Source organism: Homo sapiens, chromosome 1, assembly GCF_000001405.40.
Source record: "Homo sapiens chromosome 1, GRCh38.p14 Primary Assembly".
Taxonomy (NCBI): Eukaryota; Metazoa; Chordata; class Mammalia; order Primates; family Hominidae; genus Homo; species Homo sapiens.
In genome coordinates, this window is record NC_000001.11 from 107782335 (window position 1) to 107802904 (window position 20570).

Below are 20570 nucleotides of genomic sequence, written 5' to 3' on the forward strand. Positions count from 1 at the left end.
CCCCTACACACCGCCTCTTTCAGAAAACTATAGCTTGATTTTTTTCATGAGTGTCCACCAGAGGGAGCCAGATGATAGTCTATTAGTTTAGTCCTGAATTGAATGTGTTTTATAAGGACAAACATTTCTGAAAATCAACAAGCTGAGACCAACTCCTATTTTCTGCTTAACAGGAGTTATTTATTACTATTCACTAACAGAAAAATAACAAATATACAAATGCAGCAAATGAGGAGGAATGGAAAGACAGCATGCAGTGTATCCCAAAGTGAGTGAGAACTGGCACTCAGTTTTGTGTCTATGCTATTGTACACTGAGTCCATCCGTTAACTCTAAGTTTAGCCAAAGCAAATAAAGACTGTTTAGTCAATGCGGTGTTTTTAGAACAATGTGTATTCTATAAAGGCGAAGCGTATCCGGATTTGGAATAGACAAGTATACAAACTAATGCCAGATTCTTAAATCCTCTTTGTGGGGATTCTGACCTGCCACTGGAAACATCCATTCAAGAATTTTTACAAAAGAAAACATCTCCAAGGACACTAAGAAGACTGTTTTCCTGCAATATATTAATTTCTAACTTGTTACCACAAAATAATAGGAAATTCTGAGATACATTAACTCCCAGAAACAGACATAGCTAGTAACAATACCTGCAGGTCAATAGGCCAACAATCAACTAGAGTAAATCCATGTCATGAATTTTCTTTCTTTCCCTTTGTCTATCCTTTGGTGAGTAAGAAGAGTGGCATCTGTAAAGAAATGAAAATCATCCTGGATAGCATAAATAAGAGCTACTTTGTGAGGCAGGTGGGAAAGGTAGACAAAGGGTTCTGCAAATCTGCTTTAGAAGGGTGGCTTATATTCCAGAAGCTAGGAAGGACCATTGAGAAAGTGTGGAAAGGACAATCACAGGGTCAAAACTGCCTTTTTAAAGCAAAGTGAAGGGCAGACTGGGGTAGAGGACATAGGGAACAGAGAAGGGGCCAGGAGACCAACTGAGGGGGCTGTCTCAACCACCCAAGTGAGAGGTGAGGCACTGGAACCAAGATGGCTGCAGTAGACAGGAAAGTAGTGGAAATGGGAGGAGTGTTCAGGAATAGTAGCTGATGCTCTGTGAGGGCTAAGGGAAGAAGAACCCAGGATGACCTGGGCTAGCTGTTAAGGCTCTGGAGGTGGACAGCCCCAAGGCCGCCTACCAGAAAAGCCTCCAGGATGCTTCCAAGCAAGAAGCCCTTGTTCTCTCTGTGTCTTCTACATGGTGGACATGTACCATCCTGAACCCAGTGAGGCCACCCACTCCTCCACGGAGCCTTCTCTGGCCCATGGTCTGTGTCCCCTTTGTGTCCCCATAGGACCCCGGACATAACTCCACCGTAGCATCTATCACCTCATTTAAAATGAAAATTTATTGGCTTTTAAAAATATTTCAGGCCAGGCCTGGTGGCTCACGCCTGTAATCCCAGCACTTTGGGAGGCTGAGGCGGGCAGATCACGAGATCAGGAGATCGAGACCATCCTGGCCAACACAGTGAAACCCTATCTCTACTAAAAATACAAAAAAAAAAAAAAAAAATTAGCCAGGCATGGTGGCGGGCACCTGTAGTCCCAGCTACTTGGGAGGCTGAGGCAGGAGAATGGTGTGAACCTGGGAGGTGGGGCTTGCAGTGAGCTGAGATAGTGCCACTGCACTCCAGCCTGGGTGACAGAGCAAGACCCTATCTCAAATATATATATATATATATTTCAAAAGAATACATGTTTACTTTGTCAGGCTGAAATAATACAGTAATACATAAAAGATGCCCTTCACACCTCTCCTCTCTCTTCTGCCTAAATGGGACCATAGCTAAAAATCTGGTATGACTCTGGCAGAGTTTTTCTTTTTTCCTTTGCTTTATTAAGTAATGTATTCCTATTATACAGATTTTTCTACAGCATGCTTTTGTCATTAACAATAAAGCAGAGTCATGTCATATGTATACATCTACTTTATTCATTTTAGTGCTGTGTAACATTTCAGTGTATATAAACAGCAATGATTTAGCCATTCTCTTGTCAATGAGCTTTTTCAACATTTTTCTGCAAAATCTGCAATTATTTTTCTCGCCAAAGATCTTTTCAATTATGTGCAGATTTTGCTATAGGAAAGATTTTTAAATGGGATGACTAGGACAAAAGGCATGATATTCAATATATTTGCATAAATATTGCTTCAATATGAAAAATATCTGCATAAATTTAGACACCCCTGAAGAGTATATAAAAACATAAGCCGTGCCAGTGATCTGTTCATTGGTCTTTCAATCTGACAACGGAAAATTTCTTAAGGGCAGTAGAATCAAAGTGATTCTTCACTGTTGTATTTCCATCACCTAGTTCACAGACAGGCTCACAGCAACCACTTAACACAAAAATATTTCTGGCTTAAACAAATAAAAGAGTAATACCTTGCTAAATTGTTTTAAAGATTAGGGATAATAGGTGTCCAGATATGTAAAGGGCTCAACCTGGCACAAGTGGAGAATGAATAGTTGAAGAATCCATTGTGAAAATTAAACATTAAATATGAGACAGTGTTGTCTATTTACTCAAACCTAGAGCCAACAAACATACTGACATGTTCCCCTATGAAACATTTTCAACCAATGATGATTTTTATTTTGTTTTAGCTCTTTATTTTTTTCATCCCTTAGTTAATTTAAAAACCACAAAATAAAACAGCTTTTGAAAACAGACTGGTGATATTGTACACTGATAAAACTACCCATTTTAAACTATTCTCTTCATGAGACATTCGGGCAAATGTCCACTCTTTGCTTCTCTAGCACATTAGTGCTGTTGATGTTATTTGTAATTAAAACAAGTCATCTAAGCAGGAGCAGTATGTTATGGCTACCTTTAAGGTCCTGAGTTAAGAAAGGCACAGCCACAGTAACCAGAGGAAGCCATGAGACCAACATGTAGGTCTGCCAAAAAGTTGCTAATTAATTATGGATTTATCTTCTTGAGTTCTCTATTCTGAAATCTCACCACTTAACCCATACCAGACCCAAAAGGAAAGGCCGGGTTCAGTAACAACAACCTGGGTTCAAAAGGAATTCCGAGGGAAAGGGTACTTACAGGGAGGTGGGCTCTGCAAGGGCAATCAGGCAGCTGCATGCTAGAGCCCCAAATGCAAGACGAGCTTGGGGGTTCAAGAAGGGGTCCACGGCATCACACCCCTACAACATTAGGTTGCTATCTAGCAGCAGAGGCTCAAGGCACAGATGTTGCATCCTGGTTTCTGAAGGATCAGAGCAAGTGCCCTGTGGGGTTGTGGAGAAAAACTTGGGCCCCAGAAGAGGGAACTGGGAGTGTGGGCATGAGTGCTGGGTGGAGAAATTCAGACAGAAGCATAGTCTGTAGACCAGGTCAACTGCAAGCTAGAGGCACCCCAGAGACCTGATACTATCCAGGCATCCCAGACACCAGGTTATCTGACAATTAGGTCTAATTCTAAACCAGACCAGATGGTAAATTTCAGACTAACAACATGTTTCACCTTAACTCTCCCAGGAAATCAACAGAACTCATTATCATAATTTTCTTCGAAACTCTAATTTCACACAGTAAATTACCCCCATTAGGATACACTACAGCTTAGTGTCACTTCCAGCAACACATCTTAGGGATTTCCTGAAGCACCTGCTTGTTGCTTTGATCTGTGGGATGCTGTTGAAAAATGTCCTTAGCACCTCCTCTATGGGCAAAGCAAAGCAGTACAGCCAGATAAGATCAACAAAACATTTCTATGTCAGGAAGACTGTAAACTATGGGAAATACATTTCCATTGTTCAAGAGAGTAGAGTATCTATATAGGTTAAATGGATCCAAATTATAGTTTGTGCTGTCCTTGGTAACAATCATAAATTTAAGAAGTATTCTATACTTACTATTTTTTGAATCTTCAAAAGTGAAACTACAGAGAACAAGAACTTCCTTTAAAAAAAAAGCCATATACTGGGCTGATTAGAAGTGCAGGCTCAGAAGTCAGATTTTCTGGGTTCAAAGACCAGCTCCATCTCTTACTAGCAAGGTAAGGACGGGAGTCAAGATGATCAAGGCTCTGTGCCTTAGTTCCCTTACCTACGAAATTACAATTAAAACATCACTTATCAAACAAGTTTACTTTCAGCGTTAAAGAGGTGACAGACAGACAGATATATGCACATAGAAGAATGTCCTATACTTCTGCTGCTATTTCTAACGTCATCATCACCTTTGTTGTCATTGTCATCATCCTCATCATCATCGGTAAAGTCAGATTTGGTCTTTGTAAAGTACTTCAGAAAACAAAATGTGAGTGTGACCTCACATAGAACTGAAAGAGTTCTAAGAAAGGATAGTACACAGGATGGGCTCAGAGAAGCCACACCTCTCTACTCCAAATAAACACAAAAATCTGTGTAACTAGGGTGTGTTTGTTCATAGCAATTTCCAGACAAGTCCTTTAGCTGAATGCCTATACCCAGGCCCCACAACTCTATCTTACAAATTCTAGAGATATCATGTTTTATTCAGTGGTTATTATTTTGTTATAGATCCCTTTGAGAGTATGATGAAAGCTATCACTCATTTACTCAAAAAATTAAACCCACCTATCTACACACACACATACACACATACACACACAAAAACACATATAAAGTCTGCATCTAATATCAAGAAATCCAGGGACCTCTGAAGGACCATTTATGGACTTTCCAGATTCTCACTAAATCTCTTCCTTTGCCTATCAGAATACCATGGCCCAGAAAAACTGGCTTGCTCCAGGTTAAACAACTAATAGTAGCAGGGTTAGTACCAGGTCCCTTTTCTTCTGTCCTGGTTATTGCTCTTTCCACTTCACTACCCTTTCTATAAGTTTCTTGTATTTACTGAACACTTCATTCTGTGCTAGATACACCAGACACACACTCCAAAAGCTTCAGGGAGCAAAATGAGGATACAATGCTTCCTGCTCTCAAAAAACCAACAGTCTATTAGGAAAGACCATAACAATGAAGGGTACTGAGGGAAAACACAGACTAGTATGACAAGCAACATCTGAAGCCCAGGGGAGACAGCAAGGCCAGTTGCACCCCTTCGTGGGCAGAGGGAGCTAGAGGGGTTCAAAGGCATCTTTAAAAGAGGTGATCCTAGTCTGCATCTTGATGGGCACCTGGACATTTGCCAGACTCTCTTTCTTCAGGTTGATACAGGTTTGATGGGCAAGAATGACCAGTCTCTGGCCCACCCCTCTCATCATCACATCGTACTCCAGTGAGAATACTTGTGTATTCTAAGTAGATTCACTTGCACCTTATTCTCTGAGAAGCTTTTTGTGGTTGCCATTTTCTGAATGATATATTTCTTATTTGATTAAAAGTGGATATTTTTCAGATTCTGAGAGAAAGAAGGTCATTGAGCAAATTTTTTCTAAAGCAAACAGGACTGCACTTGCCTCATTAGGCATTTCCGCACCACTATGGTCCTGCCGTCTCTGCCTTCTTGACCTCAACACTCTGCCTCTGAAGACCCCAAACAGAGCATCTTTTCCTCCTAGCCTGCTTTTCCTCCCCATTCCCAATGACCCCACAATCCCACTCCTCTCCTTCACCTGGCCAGACATTGGGGAAACTTTCTGGAAGTAAGTGCCAGGTCTAAATCCTATCAGTCAATTCATCCTTTTCAGACTCTCTCAGATCCAATCCCTTCTCTCCTCCCATGCCTCTGCTATGTCTCGGCCCTCTCTATTTCTTGCCTCAATTATTGGAATAGCTTCCAATATGTCTCCAGGCCTACAATTTCACTCCCTTCAATTTCATCCTCTACTTGGCTACCATAGAGGTTGTATGACATTTCAAAACTATTAATGTGATCATACCACCATTACCACCATGCCAGCCCCAAAATTCTTAAATGCAGAGTGCCAGTTACTTAGCAGTACACTCAGAGAAGTCCCCAGGAGCTGCTGCCCTGCCCCTTCCACCCTCACTCTGCCCACTCTCCACACACTCCCATGTTCAGCCACACCCAACTGCTTTGCCTGCTGTGCTCCAGACAGACTCCAGGCCAACACATAGAAATTCCAGCAGAGCACAAAATTCACATGACTATAATTTACAGATGCAATTTCAAAATTAACACTTTCCCACTAAAGAGCAAGCAGAAAAAAGCAAACTGGGACCAGCAATACTAATTTTCTCTCACCAAGTGAAAGACAGTAAGAAACTTTCCTCATACACTGTTTTACCATCCCCCGGTCCAAATAGCAAAGTAGATAAAACCTGGAACTCATCCATGCAGTTAGCTGCCTGAAAGCACAGTTTTCTAGATAGAAATATTCCCTGCTCTGCCTAAATTTATGCTGGTCTGTTAGAGTGTGTTAAACTTAGTACGCAAATGATAAAGAATTGTTAGTACACAACCGTAAAAGAAACACTTTCATTTTGAAAATGTAATCATATTTGCAAATCCTTCTCTGCCTTTAAGCAGATAGTAGAGAGAATAAGCTACAAAGATTACATGGCAATTTTAATATGTTCAATACCAAGAATGGGAATGTATTTACAGACTCTGTAGGTAAACACCAATTAGTCACTGAACCATTACAGTAGCAACTCCAGCAGAGTGGCTGGGGATACAGCAGACAGCATCATCACCAGCTGATTGGAAAGCCACTGTAACTTTCACATGAACTCCCTTTGAATGGACATGCCCCATGTGCTCATGTCAGGCCAGAGGAGAAACTGTTGATGTGATCTGAAATAGACTTGGAGAGTTCCATATGACCTAAAGGACTTAGAAAGTTTAACGAATGCTCAGAGCTGCCCACAATCACACAGCTGGGACAAAGTCAACACATTTTCCAAACTCAGCTCGCTGTCAAAGTCACACAACTCACTGGCAAAGATCACTGCTTCCTGAATGTTGTCCGTAGCTATTACCACTTCAAAGGATGAAATGCAGAAAGTCTCAGAAAGAAAAGGCCAGAACGATAGGATCTCGTCGTGGGGAACATGCCATGGATTTCCAGCCCAAAGATGCTCCATCTTTTGTCCCAGCCTCAGGACTGCTCAAAGAAAATCATGAAGCATCTGTAAACGTTTCAAACCATCTAACAGAAGTTATGACTGCCTACCAGACTAGGAGAATAAAATGACAGTCCTTAAAGTCTGTGTTCTCGCTGGTTTGGTAACAGTGGTCATTTCATACACTGCTTGAAAGTGTTCATTTTCATATGTGCCTGAACAAATGAAATGCAGATAAATGAATTCATGATGTAAGAAATGTAGTTTCTGGACCAGAGCTAGTCAACAGAAATGTGTAAGTCACATACATAACTTAATATTTTAAAAGCCATGTTAGAAAAATATACAACCAGGTAAAAATAATTTTAATCATATATTTTATTTAATTCAAGATACCTAGAATATTATCATTTCAACATGTAACCAATATAAAATCAAGATGTTTTAGTATTTTTTATATTAACTCTTCAAAATCCCATGTGTCTATTGCAGTTACAGCTCATGTCAATACAGACTAGCCACAACCTGAGTGCTCAGTAGCCACATGTGGTTAATAGCAACCATACTGAGTGGTACAAGTCTACACAAAACCCTTCAGAGCACCCAGAACACAATGGGAAACAAAACAGATGCACACTGGCTAGAAGACTCCACAGACGCAGGTGGTAGCATAGCGTGACATGCCATCCCAAAGCCCCCCCAGCTTGATATGGGCAAAGCAGAGAAAAGCCTACACTTCTAGAAGCCCATGGCCTCTTCAGTGGAACCAGAAGAAAGGTAAAGGGACCCTGAAAAGGTGGCCAGCCCTGGAGGGAAGAGGAAAATATCCTTCCACACAGGCCTTATGTGCTTCCCATTTCCCCACTGCCTACACACATCAACTGTTTGATTATTTTCTCAGTCAGTCAACCCAATGGTCACCCACCTGGAAATTCATCACCTACCACATGCCAGGCCCAGCCCTGTAGACATGCACTGAGAAAACTGGACAAGACCTTGCCTGCAAAGTATTCATGGCAGAGTTGGGAATCAGACAAGCAAATAGTCACAAAAATGCACATACGTGTTTACACAGGTGAGAAGGGTTACAGAGGAATGGCACACAGTGCCAGAGGAGAGGAGAAGAAGGAATATGTCTCCATCTAAGGGTTCCAGGTAAGTTCTCTGAGGGACAGGGGAATTGAGGTCTGAATGACAAATGGGGTGATTAAGCCTTCTGCTACAGCATTTTCATACAAAAGTACAAATGTTTTCCAGTGTCTTACATCACTCCTTCCTTAAATGTCTTCCTTTTTTTTTTTTTTTTTTTTTTTTTTGAGACAGAGTCTTGCTTTGTCACCAAGGCTGGAGTACAGTTGCATGATCTTGGCTCACTGCAACCTCCGCCTCCCAGGTTAAAGCGATTCTCCTGCCTCAGCCTCCTGAGTAACTTGGATTACAGGCACCTGCCACCACGCCCAGCTAATTTTTGTATTTTTACTAGAGACGGGGTTTCACCATGTTGGTCAGGCTGGTCTCAAACTCCTGACCTCATGATCTGCCCGCCTCGGACTCCCAAACTGCTGGGATTACAGGAGTGAGCCACTGCACCTGGCCCCTTCCACTTATTTCTAAGCTGTATTTCTTCTTGTTCTTTCTTCCAAACAGGGAAAGATGCTGAGTTCTATACATCGATAGTCTCACCAAAGTTTGAGGGCCAGTGTGTGGCAAAAATGGACACCAAAATATATACCTCCTAACTCTGGGCATGTTTGCTGTGATTTGGCTGCATTTATCAAACTTGACAAGTTACAGTAATGACTTCCCATGTATCTTAAGATGGTGTAGATTCAGATTGCCAATAGCCTTGTGTGCCCCATTAAACTCAGAACTTCATTCAACAGGCTACGGGTAAGGTTCTTAAGGAGGGTAGTAACACATTCTAATTTGTTTTCTAGGAGAACTGTGCTGGCAGTTCAATAGATTAACTAAAAGGAAGTTTTTTTTGGTGATATCAAAAAAAAAAAAAGACTGCTGCAATAGTTCAGGTGATAGAGTACACATGTGAACCCAAGGCACCACAATGTAAAGGAGGAAATACATTCAAGGGCATTTCAGAGCATACTCAACTAGGGCAAGATAGACAACTGCACAAACATGGTTGTCAGATGGCAGAGACCCTGGCTGAATGTTAGAAACATCTGTGGAGCTTTTGAAAAACACTAATGTCTAGACCTTACCTTCAGAGAATATGACTCAAATAGTCTGTGATGGGGCCTTAGCATGAGAATTTTTTTAAAGCTTTCCAGTGATTCTAGTATGCAGCCAGGGTTGAAAATCACAGGCTTAAATAGAATAGCTTTTTGAAACCCTGAGGTCCAAGAGAATCAGCTTGTTTTTTTCCATTCTTTAACTCAGCAAATAATTATTGAGTGCTTATGATTATCAGGCACTAGGTTAAGTGATTAGTATTATATAATCTCACAAAACCCATGATTTCTGTATTTTCATTTTGAAATGAGAACCTTCTAAGGGTCAGAGAAGTAAAGTGACTTCTAGGAGGATGGCAGGTAAATGACAACCTACATTTGAACCCAGCTTTCAATATTCAGATCTGCTAAAAGCAGGCAATGCTGCCAGCACCTTTGGATTTGAATCTTTAATTACAATTTGACTTATAGCACTCATTAATCCTTGGATATCTTGAATTCCAAGGAATGTAAGTACTTCAATAGCTAACATTCCCCATTGTTCCACTGAACCCTCTGCTGGGTCTCAGGCCCTGTGAACAACTACAGCATCTAAACTCATCTGTTACTCACTTCACCATCACACTGCTAAAGCAAGTGTTGAGTATTTTTTTTCTTACATTTTGCCAAAATAGAAACCTTAACTGTATTATTACAAGAAAACTTTTCAGTGTTAAAATACATTAAGTATTATGGAAATATAGATGCTGTCTATTCATAGCCTAAAATAATTCCTTTAAAAATACAGCTCAAATCGGTGGCACACTGCAGCCTCAAACACACGGGCTCAAGTGATCCTCCCACCTCAGGCTCCTCAGTAGCTGGGACTACAGGTGTGCACCAGAAACAGATACTACTGCAGCTACCAGCAACTATGCATATAAATTTCAACAGGTAATAAAGCCACTAGTACTGTTTACTAGAGTGGGAAGGCCCATTACATAATAGTGTTAATTACTTAAGAAAACTTTACTAGTAAGTTGAGTCTGTAGCATTTGGGTACAAATTTATGTAAAATAAAATGTCAAAAAATTACCATGATCTCAGTTAATTCTAATCTATTTCCACATTGTATTCGCTTGAAACTTAGGGACTTAGTGTTTAGCTAGGAGAAATAATTAATGTATATGTAAAATATTTTTGTACTATCAAATTGAATACGAAAGAAACAGTTAACACAACCAGACTCAGAAATGCATGGTTGCTCCTAGAGGCTACCAGCTTGTACCCTCCTTCTGGTTTGCAATTAAGTAGACTGTAAGGAAACAGTAATGTATAATTCAATCGTACATTATAATAATATACAGGACATTACAGGACTGTAATGATATTCTGGTTTAAAAGTTATCTGTTTATCAGTATAAATATTTATATTATTTAAAATTTACCTCACCCAAACAAAAATGACGATAAATAAGTGTCATTATATGTTATACATATGCATGCACACATGTACACACACATACCAGAATCTGTGCTGAGCATTCTGCAGACACTATAAAATGCTCAAGACAACCTTATGAACAGAATAATGATATTATCCTCATTTTAGAGACGGCTAAACTGAAAAAGAGAAAAGAAACTTGCCCATGGTCACTGAGGCAGTGAGTAGTAGGGTCAATACCTTCATCATGGGTGATCTGCCCCAGAGTGTGTAACTAAAACCACAAAAACCAAAACAGCCTGTCATGAACGCTACATAAATTGTAGAGCCAGGTAGGGCTATGAGAGTTGAAAGGGTGTCTGCATTCTATTCCGTCACCTTTTTATACTTGTCCTAATTTCTGACATTTGAAATATCACCTATTTATATATTGTCTCCCAGAATGAGAGCACAGGTTCCATGAGAGGAGGGAGTGTGTCGGCCTTATTCACTGCAGTATCCGCAGCACCTAGACCACCACATGGCACACAGATGCTCAGTAACTACATCTGAACAAGGGAACGGCTGAGTGGCAGACACAATGCAAGCAAACACTTGGAGGTGAGGAGCTTGGATTCAGGATGAGGGATATGAGATACAGTTGAAGTTGCAGGTTGGAGGTAGACAGTTTTAAACACCAGGCTAAGGGGTCTAGATTTTGTTATTTATATTATGATAAGCCAATAAAGATATTTTTAGCTGGAGAATGAACTGTCAAACAGGAGTATGTTAAGAACCCTAATCTAGTAGCTATATCAGAGAAAGAAGCCTAAACTGAGAAAGTTGTTTTAACAATAGCCTAAGCTCTGAATTGATTAGGGAGTAAATCTGGGAGATAGTAAAGGAAGCAGATAGGACAAGCATTATGAAAACAGGGATCCACTTGACTTGCGTACTGCTGGACACGCCAAATCCCAGAGACGCAGATCTAGCTTGAGCAAACTTTAGAAAATCTGATCTGACTCTAGTTAATTACTGCGCAGAAGGCGCTTCACAGGGAGGATTAAATCCGGGCATTATTTAGAAATTTCATTCTGTTCCAGACGGGACCAAAGATAGCTCTGGCTGACAATGGTTGAAAACTGACCCAGAACTGTCAAGAATCTCAAAGATCCATGTGAGTAGGACATGCCACATCAAGTTGGCTGCCCTGAACTGGTATCAGGCAAGATCCACAAATCTGGGCTGGCCCAGGAGTAGCCTGGTTTCCACTGAGGAATTTGACACTATTTGTGGTTTGTGTGTGCTGTACCACCCATGGGCCAGTACTAATAAAACAGGATTATGGAAATTAGCTTGATTCATCATTTTCTCCCTTCATCTTGCTTTTGCCCTTTTCAGCCTTTGCTGAGGACTATGTCTGATTATGATACATTTTTTCCTTTTGACCTAAATACATTAAATTTAATCAGCTTTAAAAAATTCTCTTGATTTTGATTTAAGAAGAAAGCTTAAGAATGACTTTTATTTTGATTAATTTCATTTTGAGATTCCCTTCTCTCTTTCATTCTAAGTCTTTGCTGTCTTAAGGAGCAACTGTAGTTGAATTACATAGCTATTTTTTGAAACTGTGATAAAATCTACTGCTTTAGGACTCTGTTACTTGTGGCCTTAAAATCCTAAAAGGAATTTCCACCTTAGGAGCCCTGGAAGACTTCTTTTTCTGGGTCTTGGGTATTTTGCAACGAACAAGGAGCATTTTTCAGTCATTAGCTCCTCTGACTGTATGTGGTTAATCCAGGATAATTTGAATTTCCCTTAGGGTCTGAGTATTTACCAAGAACTGGCACAGAGAAAATAATCCTCTCAAAGGATGTAGATAAGTAGCTCAGCCCTAATGGGCAAAATGACCCCAGTGAGTGTGGGGTGTGCCACTGATGCACTAGGTTGGGAAGAGTATTCAGCATTGTTCTCTGACGGTTTTTCATTGTTATTTCATTTCAGCTTAACCTCAGATGAAGTATTGCACCTAGAAGAATGGATATAGTTTACTTGACAAAAAGAGAGGAGGGCACTGAAGTCCCAAATTCTTTCATCAGAGGTATTTGGGGGCCACCATCCCCTTCTTTAGAAACTGCTTCTGAGATACTCTTGCCAGCCACTCTGAAGGCAGACAACAATGCTTGTTCTCATCTGCCAAGCTGATTTTCCTCCTGCCAGTCTCCAGGAATGGAACAGAAATCCTGAATGAAGAAATATTTTTAAATGGACGAAGTTACCAAGATAACTAGCATCTAAATAACTTAGTAAACTATGTCCTTTAAACCCTTGCCACAATGGCAACCTTAACATATCCTCGGTGCTATATAAAAACTCTTACAGGACTATCAAACAATGAAATTCTTTGGACAGAAAGAACCAGGGTAGATCTACCTTATATTGGCTTCTGTGCAATGGTATTTGTGATCTAATTGTAATACAATGTTTCTGTTTTGGTACTATTGTCTGTTTTCTTTTTATTATCTTCTCTCTTAACCTATCTCCCCTCCCCCCAGGAAAAAAAATGAATGCCCTGTCAAAATATGGCATATGTAAGATGTTTTGGAATCTGAATGATCTTTTAAGGTTATTTCCCCCAGAGAATACTTGATAACAACCTGAATCAAGAGGGAAAACCCCCTACAGGGGCAGCCCAGACTCAAACATTTATATCCAGTTATAAACATTTGCATAAGTCGTTAGGGCTTTAATAGTTTAGAAACAGAAATGTGAGCTGATGTGAAGAGCCCTATATAAAGAATATATGAATCCTTTTGATTTGGCCAGAGGGACATTTTGACTTTCCTGTTTCAAAACAACCATTCTGATGAGGCCAGGTCAAAAGTGCTGAGCTTATTAGAAAGTAATGGACCGAAAGATATCCCCCATCCAATTCCTGATTCCCATACTGATCTCACCTCATTGCTAACGCCCATCCCATTAAATCCTAATTCTCAGAGTTGAAGAAGATTGGGTAAAAGCTCAAGAGTGGGGTGACTGATTACTTGAATTACAGCAAAGTAAAACAGAAAAGCTTAATCTTTTTTTTTTTCAGGTCACATGAAAAAGTCCCTAGTATCAAACAGTATAACAAAGTGACTCCTTGGACAGCTGCTTTGCCAATGTGACTGCCTCAAAATGCCATGCAACCAGCATGAGACTGCACAGAGTTTCTAATCTTTGCTGCAGCCCTGACTTTCAGTGAGACAGTGGCCAGGTCACATGGTCTCTGGGCCCCAGGCTCTCATCTCTAAACTGAGTGGCATGGGTTATTTGGATCTCTAACCTCAACTCTACCCAACCAAGCTGCCCGGCTTCCAACTCCTATCAGTGAGCAAACAGCGAACCAGTCTCATTGGTTATTTTTTCCTTTTTTTAGGGATCAGTTCTCTTAGAAAAAACAAGACATGTATACTGGGGCCAATGTACTTGACTGTCCATATATATTCATATTCCAGAAGTTGATGATAGATTATAGATTCCATCCCTAATATGATGGACAGGCACTATATTTTTTCCTACTAAAATGTATAAATATTAAATTTTCTCAATATATGATGGCAACAATTTTCTGACACCTGGCTCCTTTAAAAATATATGAATCTGTTTGGGGCCTAAATAAGGATCAAATATTTGTAAGAGTACTTATTATGCTCACAGGTATAAATTCTTTTAACTCACAAAATAAATTCCTGGGAATCATGACAGAGTCAATAAGTTATGTGGTAGTCTCACAAGTGGAGTTCAAGAAATAGACATGCTGTTATTTGTAAAAAAAAAAAAAAATATATATATATATGCAAATTTACCATACAAGGACCTTTTAAAATCATAAGTGCATACTGATTAAAATGTTTGCCATCCATATATCTGAATCATTTTGTTACTTTCTCCTCAAAATATTAAATAGTTTAATTCAATCAAGTTTGTTTTGGTTCTAATGAGTAAAATAATTTTTTTAAATAAGTGAAAATACTCCTATAATAACTATATGACTTCAAAATAAGATAGCAGTCCTCAAATTACTACAATATGTAAGAAGTTACTATTTTTTATTTGATTATCAGCTACCATTTTTCAGTGTTAACTGTGTGTCAGGAATTCTACGTGAACCTGTGAGGTAGGAATTATGTCAATTTTATATAGTAAAAAGCTATATAAACTATATAGTGTCAGAGAAATTACCCAAGCAGTCTAACATACAGTCAGTATAATTCAAACTCAAGTCACTTCAGCTTTCTTATAACACTAGTTTGCCTCTTAGTAATTCTTAATCTTGGAGAAGTTATGATTTTATTTTCATTTCATCCTTCACTTAAATATTTATTGAGTATCTGCATATGCCATAAATTCTACTAGGTGTCAGGGATGAAAGGGCAAGGGAAAGATGTAATCCCTTTCCTTAGGGAGTTATCAATACCCTGGAAAAGAGAGAGGCATGTAAACAAATCACTGCAATCAAATTTGAAGAACTACAAACAGGTATTCATAGGGCTCCAAAAAGCATAAGAGTCAAGTCCAGCTGGATTTCTGGGTCAAGGGAGGTTCTCCAGTGAGTTATGCTAGAATAAAATTTTAAAGAATAGTTATTAATGGGTTATGTAGACAATGGTGGAGAATGGCATTCTAACAGCAGAGATGTAAAAAATCTCAGCTCTTAAGAAAAATCATGTTATGCCTCAGTAACATCATGACCTTTAGGTTGGGGTAAAAGTTAGTGGAGAATGAGAGAGGAGAAATACCAAGTTGATTTTATTTTTAACCTTTGGCTTTTATATAGAGCAGTGTCCTCAAACCTTATCCTGCACCAATACCACCTGGAGGATTTGTTAAAATAGATTGCTGGGCTTCACCACCACAAGATTTTCCAACTCAGTAGGGACCAAGAATTTGTACTTCTAGCAAGTTCTCAGAAGCTGTTGATGCTGCTGGTCCAGGTACCATATTTGAGAACCACTGACATAGAGCGATAAGCCATGAAGAGATTAACACAAGACCATAGTTTCAAAGTTTATTTACTTTTAGCCTTCTGCTTTCCCCTAAATATTAATCTAGATAATATCTTGACTTTAAAAAAATAAAGAGTAACTAATAATACATACAGGTTTATCAGATGTAGTCTTGTGGAATGAACACAAACCAACAAGGGAAAATTCTAACGAGGCTGAATTCATAATTCATGAATTTTTGAATATTTATTCTAATTTCAACATCCAAAAGCTAGATTGTTCAAGATGGTCTCTTGGCCTTCCCCCACTCTGTACAAAGGACGATGCCTGTGTAAAAATAGGAGGGGTGTTCTCACACCTGACCACTGCTCAAGGTGGCTCCTGCTCCCACACACCCCTTCCCAATTCCCAGGCAGGTGGCTGTTTGTGCCTCCAATAAGCAGGATGTTCAAGAAGAACATGCACCGAGGCCAGGCGTGGTGGCTCATGCCTGTAATCCTAGCACTTTGGGAGGCTGAGGTGGGCGGATCATGAGGTCAGGAGATCGAGACCATTCTGGCTAACACAGTGTAAACCTCATCTCTACTAAAAATACAAAAAATTAGCCGGGCGTGGTGGTGGGCACCTGTAGTCCCAGCTACTCAGGAGGCTGAGGCAGGAGAATGGCGTGAACCCAGGAGGCGGAGGTTGCAGTGAGCCGAGATCACGCCACTGCACTCCAGCCTGGGCAACATAGCAAGACTCCCTCTCAAAAAAAAAAAAAAAAAAAAAAAAAAGAAGAACATGCACCGAACTGTCAACAATGGTGACTATCTAGGAGGTGAAACTGCTATGAAATTGCGCTTTTCTATTGATTTTTTAACATTTCTATACTGTTAGAAATTTTACTGATAGGTATACATAAACTTTTATTCAGAAGAAGATTTTTTTAATGCAAAGATGCTTTTAGAGTTGTACAACAAGCAGAAATGATTTTCAAATTTTTTTCTTTATTCCTCTGTGGAACCAGCCTTTTGTTCAAACAAAATACTATCAGAAGTCCAAAACTTAAAAGTGATGAAAGCACAGCTTATCAGGAAAAAGTGGTAATATAGAAATGAGAGACCCAAAAATTCTTTGAGCAATCACAACCTTACTGTTTCCTATGATAATTATAGAACTTTGAAAGAGTACTTTTCATTTAGCTATGTAAATTGTGGATTTCACTTTTTAGTTACCTCATTTCATATTTGTACCTTGGGTAGTCCCCTGGCATATACTGAAAACTCAATTAATTGTAAGAAGCTTCCTAATTCAAAATCAGTTTCTTTATTTGCCTTTTCTGTTTTTAGTGTTCACCTATCAAAAAAAAAAAAAAGACACCAGGTTCTATCACGTAGAAAAAATATCTAAAACTGAAGTAACAAAAACATAACTTACGAAGTTCCCCAATTTAATTTTTTCATATCCATATTTGTAAGAATGGTAACTTAACTAAATATGAACCAAGTCAAAAAAGAAGGTGGGTGATTGTTGTCTGGCATAAATATAGAATAATATGTAAATTAATATAGTAACTTACTTTCCACCAATAATTTTTCCTTGAAAAATTTTTATTGATGTATACTAGATGTACATATTTCCAGAGTACATGCTGTAATTTGATACATTCATATACTTTGTAAATATCAAATCAGGGCAATTGGCATATACCTCAACTTAAATATTTAACTTTTCTTTATGCTGGGAATGTTCAAATTATTCTCTTCCAGCCATCTTGAAATGTACATAGAGTCATGCTAACTACAGTCACTTTAGTGATCTATCACAGGCTAAGATTTATTTTTTCTATCAAATTGTATATCTGTAGCCATTAGCCAACTTCTCTTCATCCCTCCCTCCCTCCTTCCCTTCCTGGACTCTGATAACCACCAATCTCTCTCTGTCTTCATAAGACTCACTTTTACAGCTCCCACATATGAGTGAGAACATGTAATATTTGATTTTCTGTGCTTGGCTCACTTCACTTAACATAATGATCTCCAGTCCCATCCATGTTGCAACAAATGACAGGATGTCATTCTTTATGGTTGAATAATATTCCATTGTGTACATATATCACATTTTCATTACCTATTCATCTATTGTTGGCATTTAGGTCGATTCCATATTTTGGTGTTTGTGAATAGTGCTACACTAAACATGGGAGTGCAGATAGATACCTCTTCAATATATTTATTTCCACTATTTTGGATATATAGTCAGTAATATAAGTGCTAGGTTATATAATAATTCAATATTTAATTTTTTGAGGAATCTCCAAACAGTTTTCTATATTAGTTTTACCATTTACATTCCCACCAACAGTATATGAGGGTTCCATTTTCTCCATATCCTCACCAGCATCCATTATTCCCTGCCCTTGTTATAAAAGCCATTGTAACTGGAGTGAGATGATGGTTCATTGTGGTTTTAATTTGCTTTTCTGTGATTATTAGTGATGCTGAACATTTTTTCGTATAAATATTAGCCATCTGTATGTCTTCTGAGAAATTTTTACTCAGATATTCTACCTATTTTTTGTAATTTCAACTCATATTTTAGATTCAGGAGGTATATGTGCAGATTTGTTACATGGGAATATTGCATGATGCTGAGGTTTGGGGAACAAATGATCCCACCACCCAGGTAGTGAGCATAGTACCCATTTACCTATTTTTTAAATCAGTAATTGTTCTTTTGTTGTTGAGTTCCTTATATATTCTGGTTGTTAATCTCTTGTTATATGGATAGTTTGCAAATATTTTTTCTCATTCTGTGAGTTGTCTCTTCACTTTGTTGATTGTTATCTTTGCTGTGTAGAAACATTTTGCCTTTATATAATCCTATTTGTCTATCTTTGCTTTGGCTGCCTGTGCTTTTGAGATCTTACACAAAAAATATTTGCCCAGACTTATGTTCTGGAGCATTTCCCCAGTGTTTTCTTCGAGTAGTTTCACAATTTCAAGTCTTAGATTTAAGTCTTTAATCCATTTTGCTTTTTGTATATGATGAGAGATAGGGGTTTCGTTTCATTCTTCTACATATGGTTATCCAGTTTTCCCAGTACTACTTATTAAAGAAACCACCTTTTGCCCACTGTATGTTCTTGGAGCCTATGTCTAACATGAGTTGGCTGTAAATGTGTAGGCTTATATCTGGGTGGTCTATTCTGTTCCATTGGTCTACATGTTTGTTTCCATGCCATGCTGATTTGGTTACTATATTTTTGTAGTATATTTGGAAGTCAGATACTGTGATGCCTCCAGCTTTGTAGTTGTTGCTCAGAATTGCTTTAGCTATTCAAGGTCATTTGGGGTTCCAGATAAAATTTAGAACATTTTTCTATTTCTGTGAAGAATATCACTGATATTTTGATAAGGACTGCATTGAATCTATAGATTGCTTTGAGTAGCACTGTCATTTGAACTGTTAAAGCAAACTAAGTATGGCCTGAGAAGGACTTTATACTTCTATATTTGAGTCCTTGTGGATGAACTGCAACCTGAATTAATAGGTAGATGAGATGGAAAACCTAACTTAGAAGTATGCACCTGTAACAATAGCTGAGTGTTGGCCAATCTCAGAGGCCACACTTCAACCACTCATAGACTATTGAGTGTTCAAATTGTGTTCAAATAAGGCAAACACCAACCTGTAACCAATCCAGCTGTTCTGTATCTCACTTCCAATTGCTGTATATCACTTTACTTCTCTTGTCTATAAATTTGTTCTGACCACAAGGCACCCCTGGAGTCTCTCTGAATCTGCTGTGATTCTGGGGGCTGCCAGATTCATGAATTGTTCATTGCTCAACTAAACTCATTTAAATTTAATTCACCTGAAGTTTTTCTTTTAACAGAACAATATTAATTCTTTCAATCCATGAGCATGGAATATCTTTCCTTTTTTTGGTATGTGCCTCTTCAATTTCTTTCGTCAGCATTTTTTTATGTGTTTCTTTTTTTTATTATTATACTTTAAGTTCTGGGGTACATGTGCAGAACATGGAGTTTTGTTACATAGGTATACATGTGCCATCTCTTCATCGGCATTTTAAGGTTTACATTATACAGATCTTCCACTTCTTTAAATTAATTTCTAGTTATTTTATGTTCTTTGTAGCTATTGCAAATGAGATTGCTTTCTTGATTTCTTTTTCAGATTGTTCACTGTTGGCTTACATAAATGGTACTGATTTTTGCATGTTGGTTTTGTATGCTGCAACTTTACTTATTCTTTTTTTGTTCTAACAGGGTTTTTTTTGTGGACTCTTTAGATTTTTCTAAATAAATGTTCATGTCATCTGCATATAACGATAATTTGACTTCTTCCTTTCCAATATGGATGGCCTTTATTTCTTTCTCTGACCTCACTGCTCTGGCCAGGACTTCCAGTATTATGTTGAATAAAAATGGGCATCTCTTTTTCCAGATCTTAGCAAAAAGGCCTTCAATTTTTCCCCATTCAATATGCTATTGACTATGGGTTTGTCATATATGGCCTTTATTATTTGGAATTATGTTCCTTCTATTCTTAACGTTTGTTGAGGATTTTTATCATAAAGTGATGTTAAATTTTATCAAACGTTTTTTCAGCATCTATTGAAAAGATCTTATAGTTTTGTTCTTGGTTAGGTAAAGAGGATACATTACATTTATTAATTTGCATATGTTGAACTATCATATCCTAGGATGCATCCCACTTGATCATAGTGAATGGTCTTTTTAATGTGTTGCTGAATTCAGTTTGCTAATATTGTGTTGAGGACTTTTGTATCTGTGTTTATCAGTGATATTGGCCTGTAGTCTACTTTCTGTTGTGTGCTTGTCTGGTTTTGGTATTAGGGTGATGTTAGCTTTGTGGAATAAGTTTGAAAGTATTTCTTCCTCTTCAGTTTTTTTTTTTTTTGAAGAGT

General features: G+C 38.5%; 1 protein-coding gene across 12 annotated transcripts in view; it reads right to left on the reverse strand.

The window, feature by feature from the left end:
• Window positions 1–20570, reverse strand: part of VAV3 (vav guanine nucleotide exchange factor 3) — a 394020-nt gene that overhangs the window by 211174 nt on the left and 162276 nt on the right. For 2 of the 12 annotated variants that reach the window (XM_005270360.3, XM_047430555.1), the window contains exon 1: window positions 3124–4200. The exons of 8 other annotated variants lie outside the window; for them this stretch is intronic. In XM_005270360.3, coding sequence (XP_005270417.1) covers window positions 3124–3162 — 39 coding nt within the window. In that variant the 5' untranslated portion in view covers window positions 3163–4200. Of the gene's footprint in view, window positions 1–653; window positions 673–3123; window positions 4201–4261; window positions 4307–20570 lie in introns of those variants that run through there. 2 more of the 12 variants (XM_017000055.1, XM_047430439.1) reach the window with 2 other exon arrangements.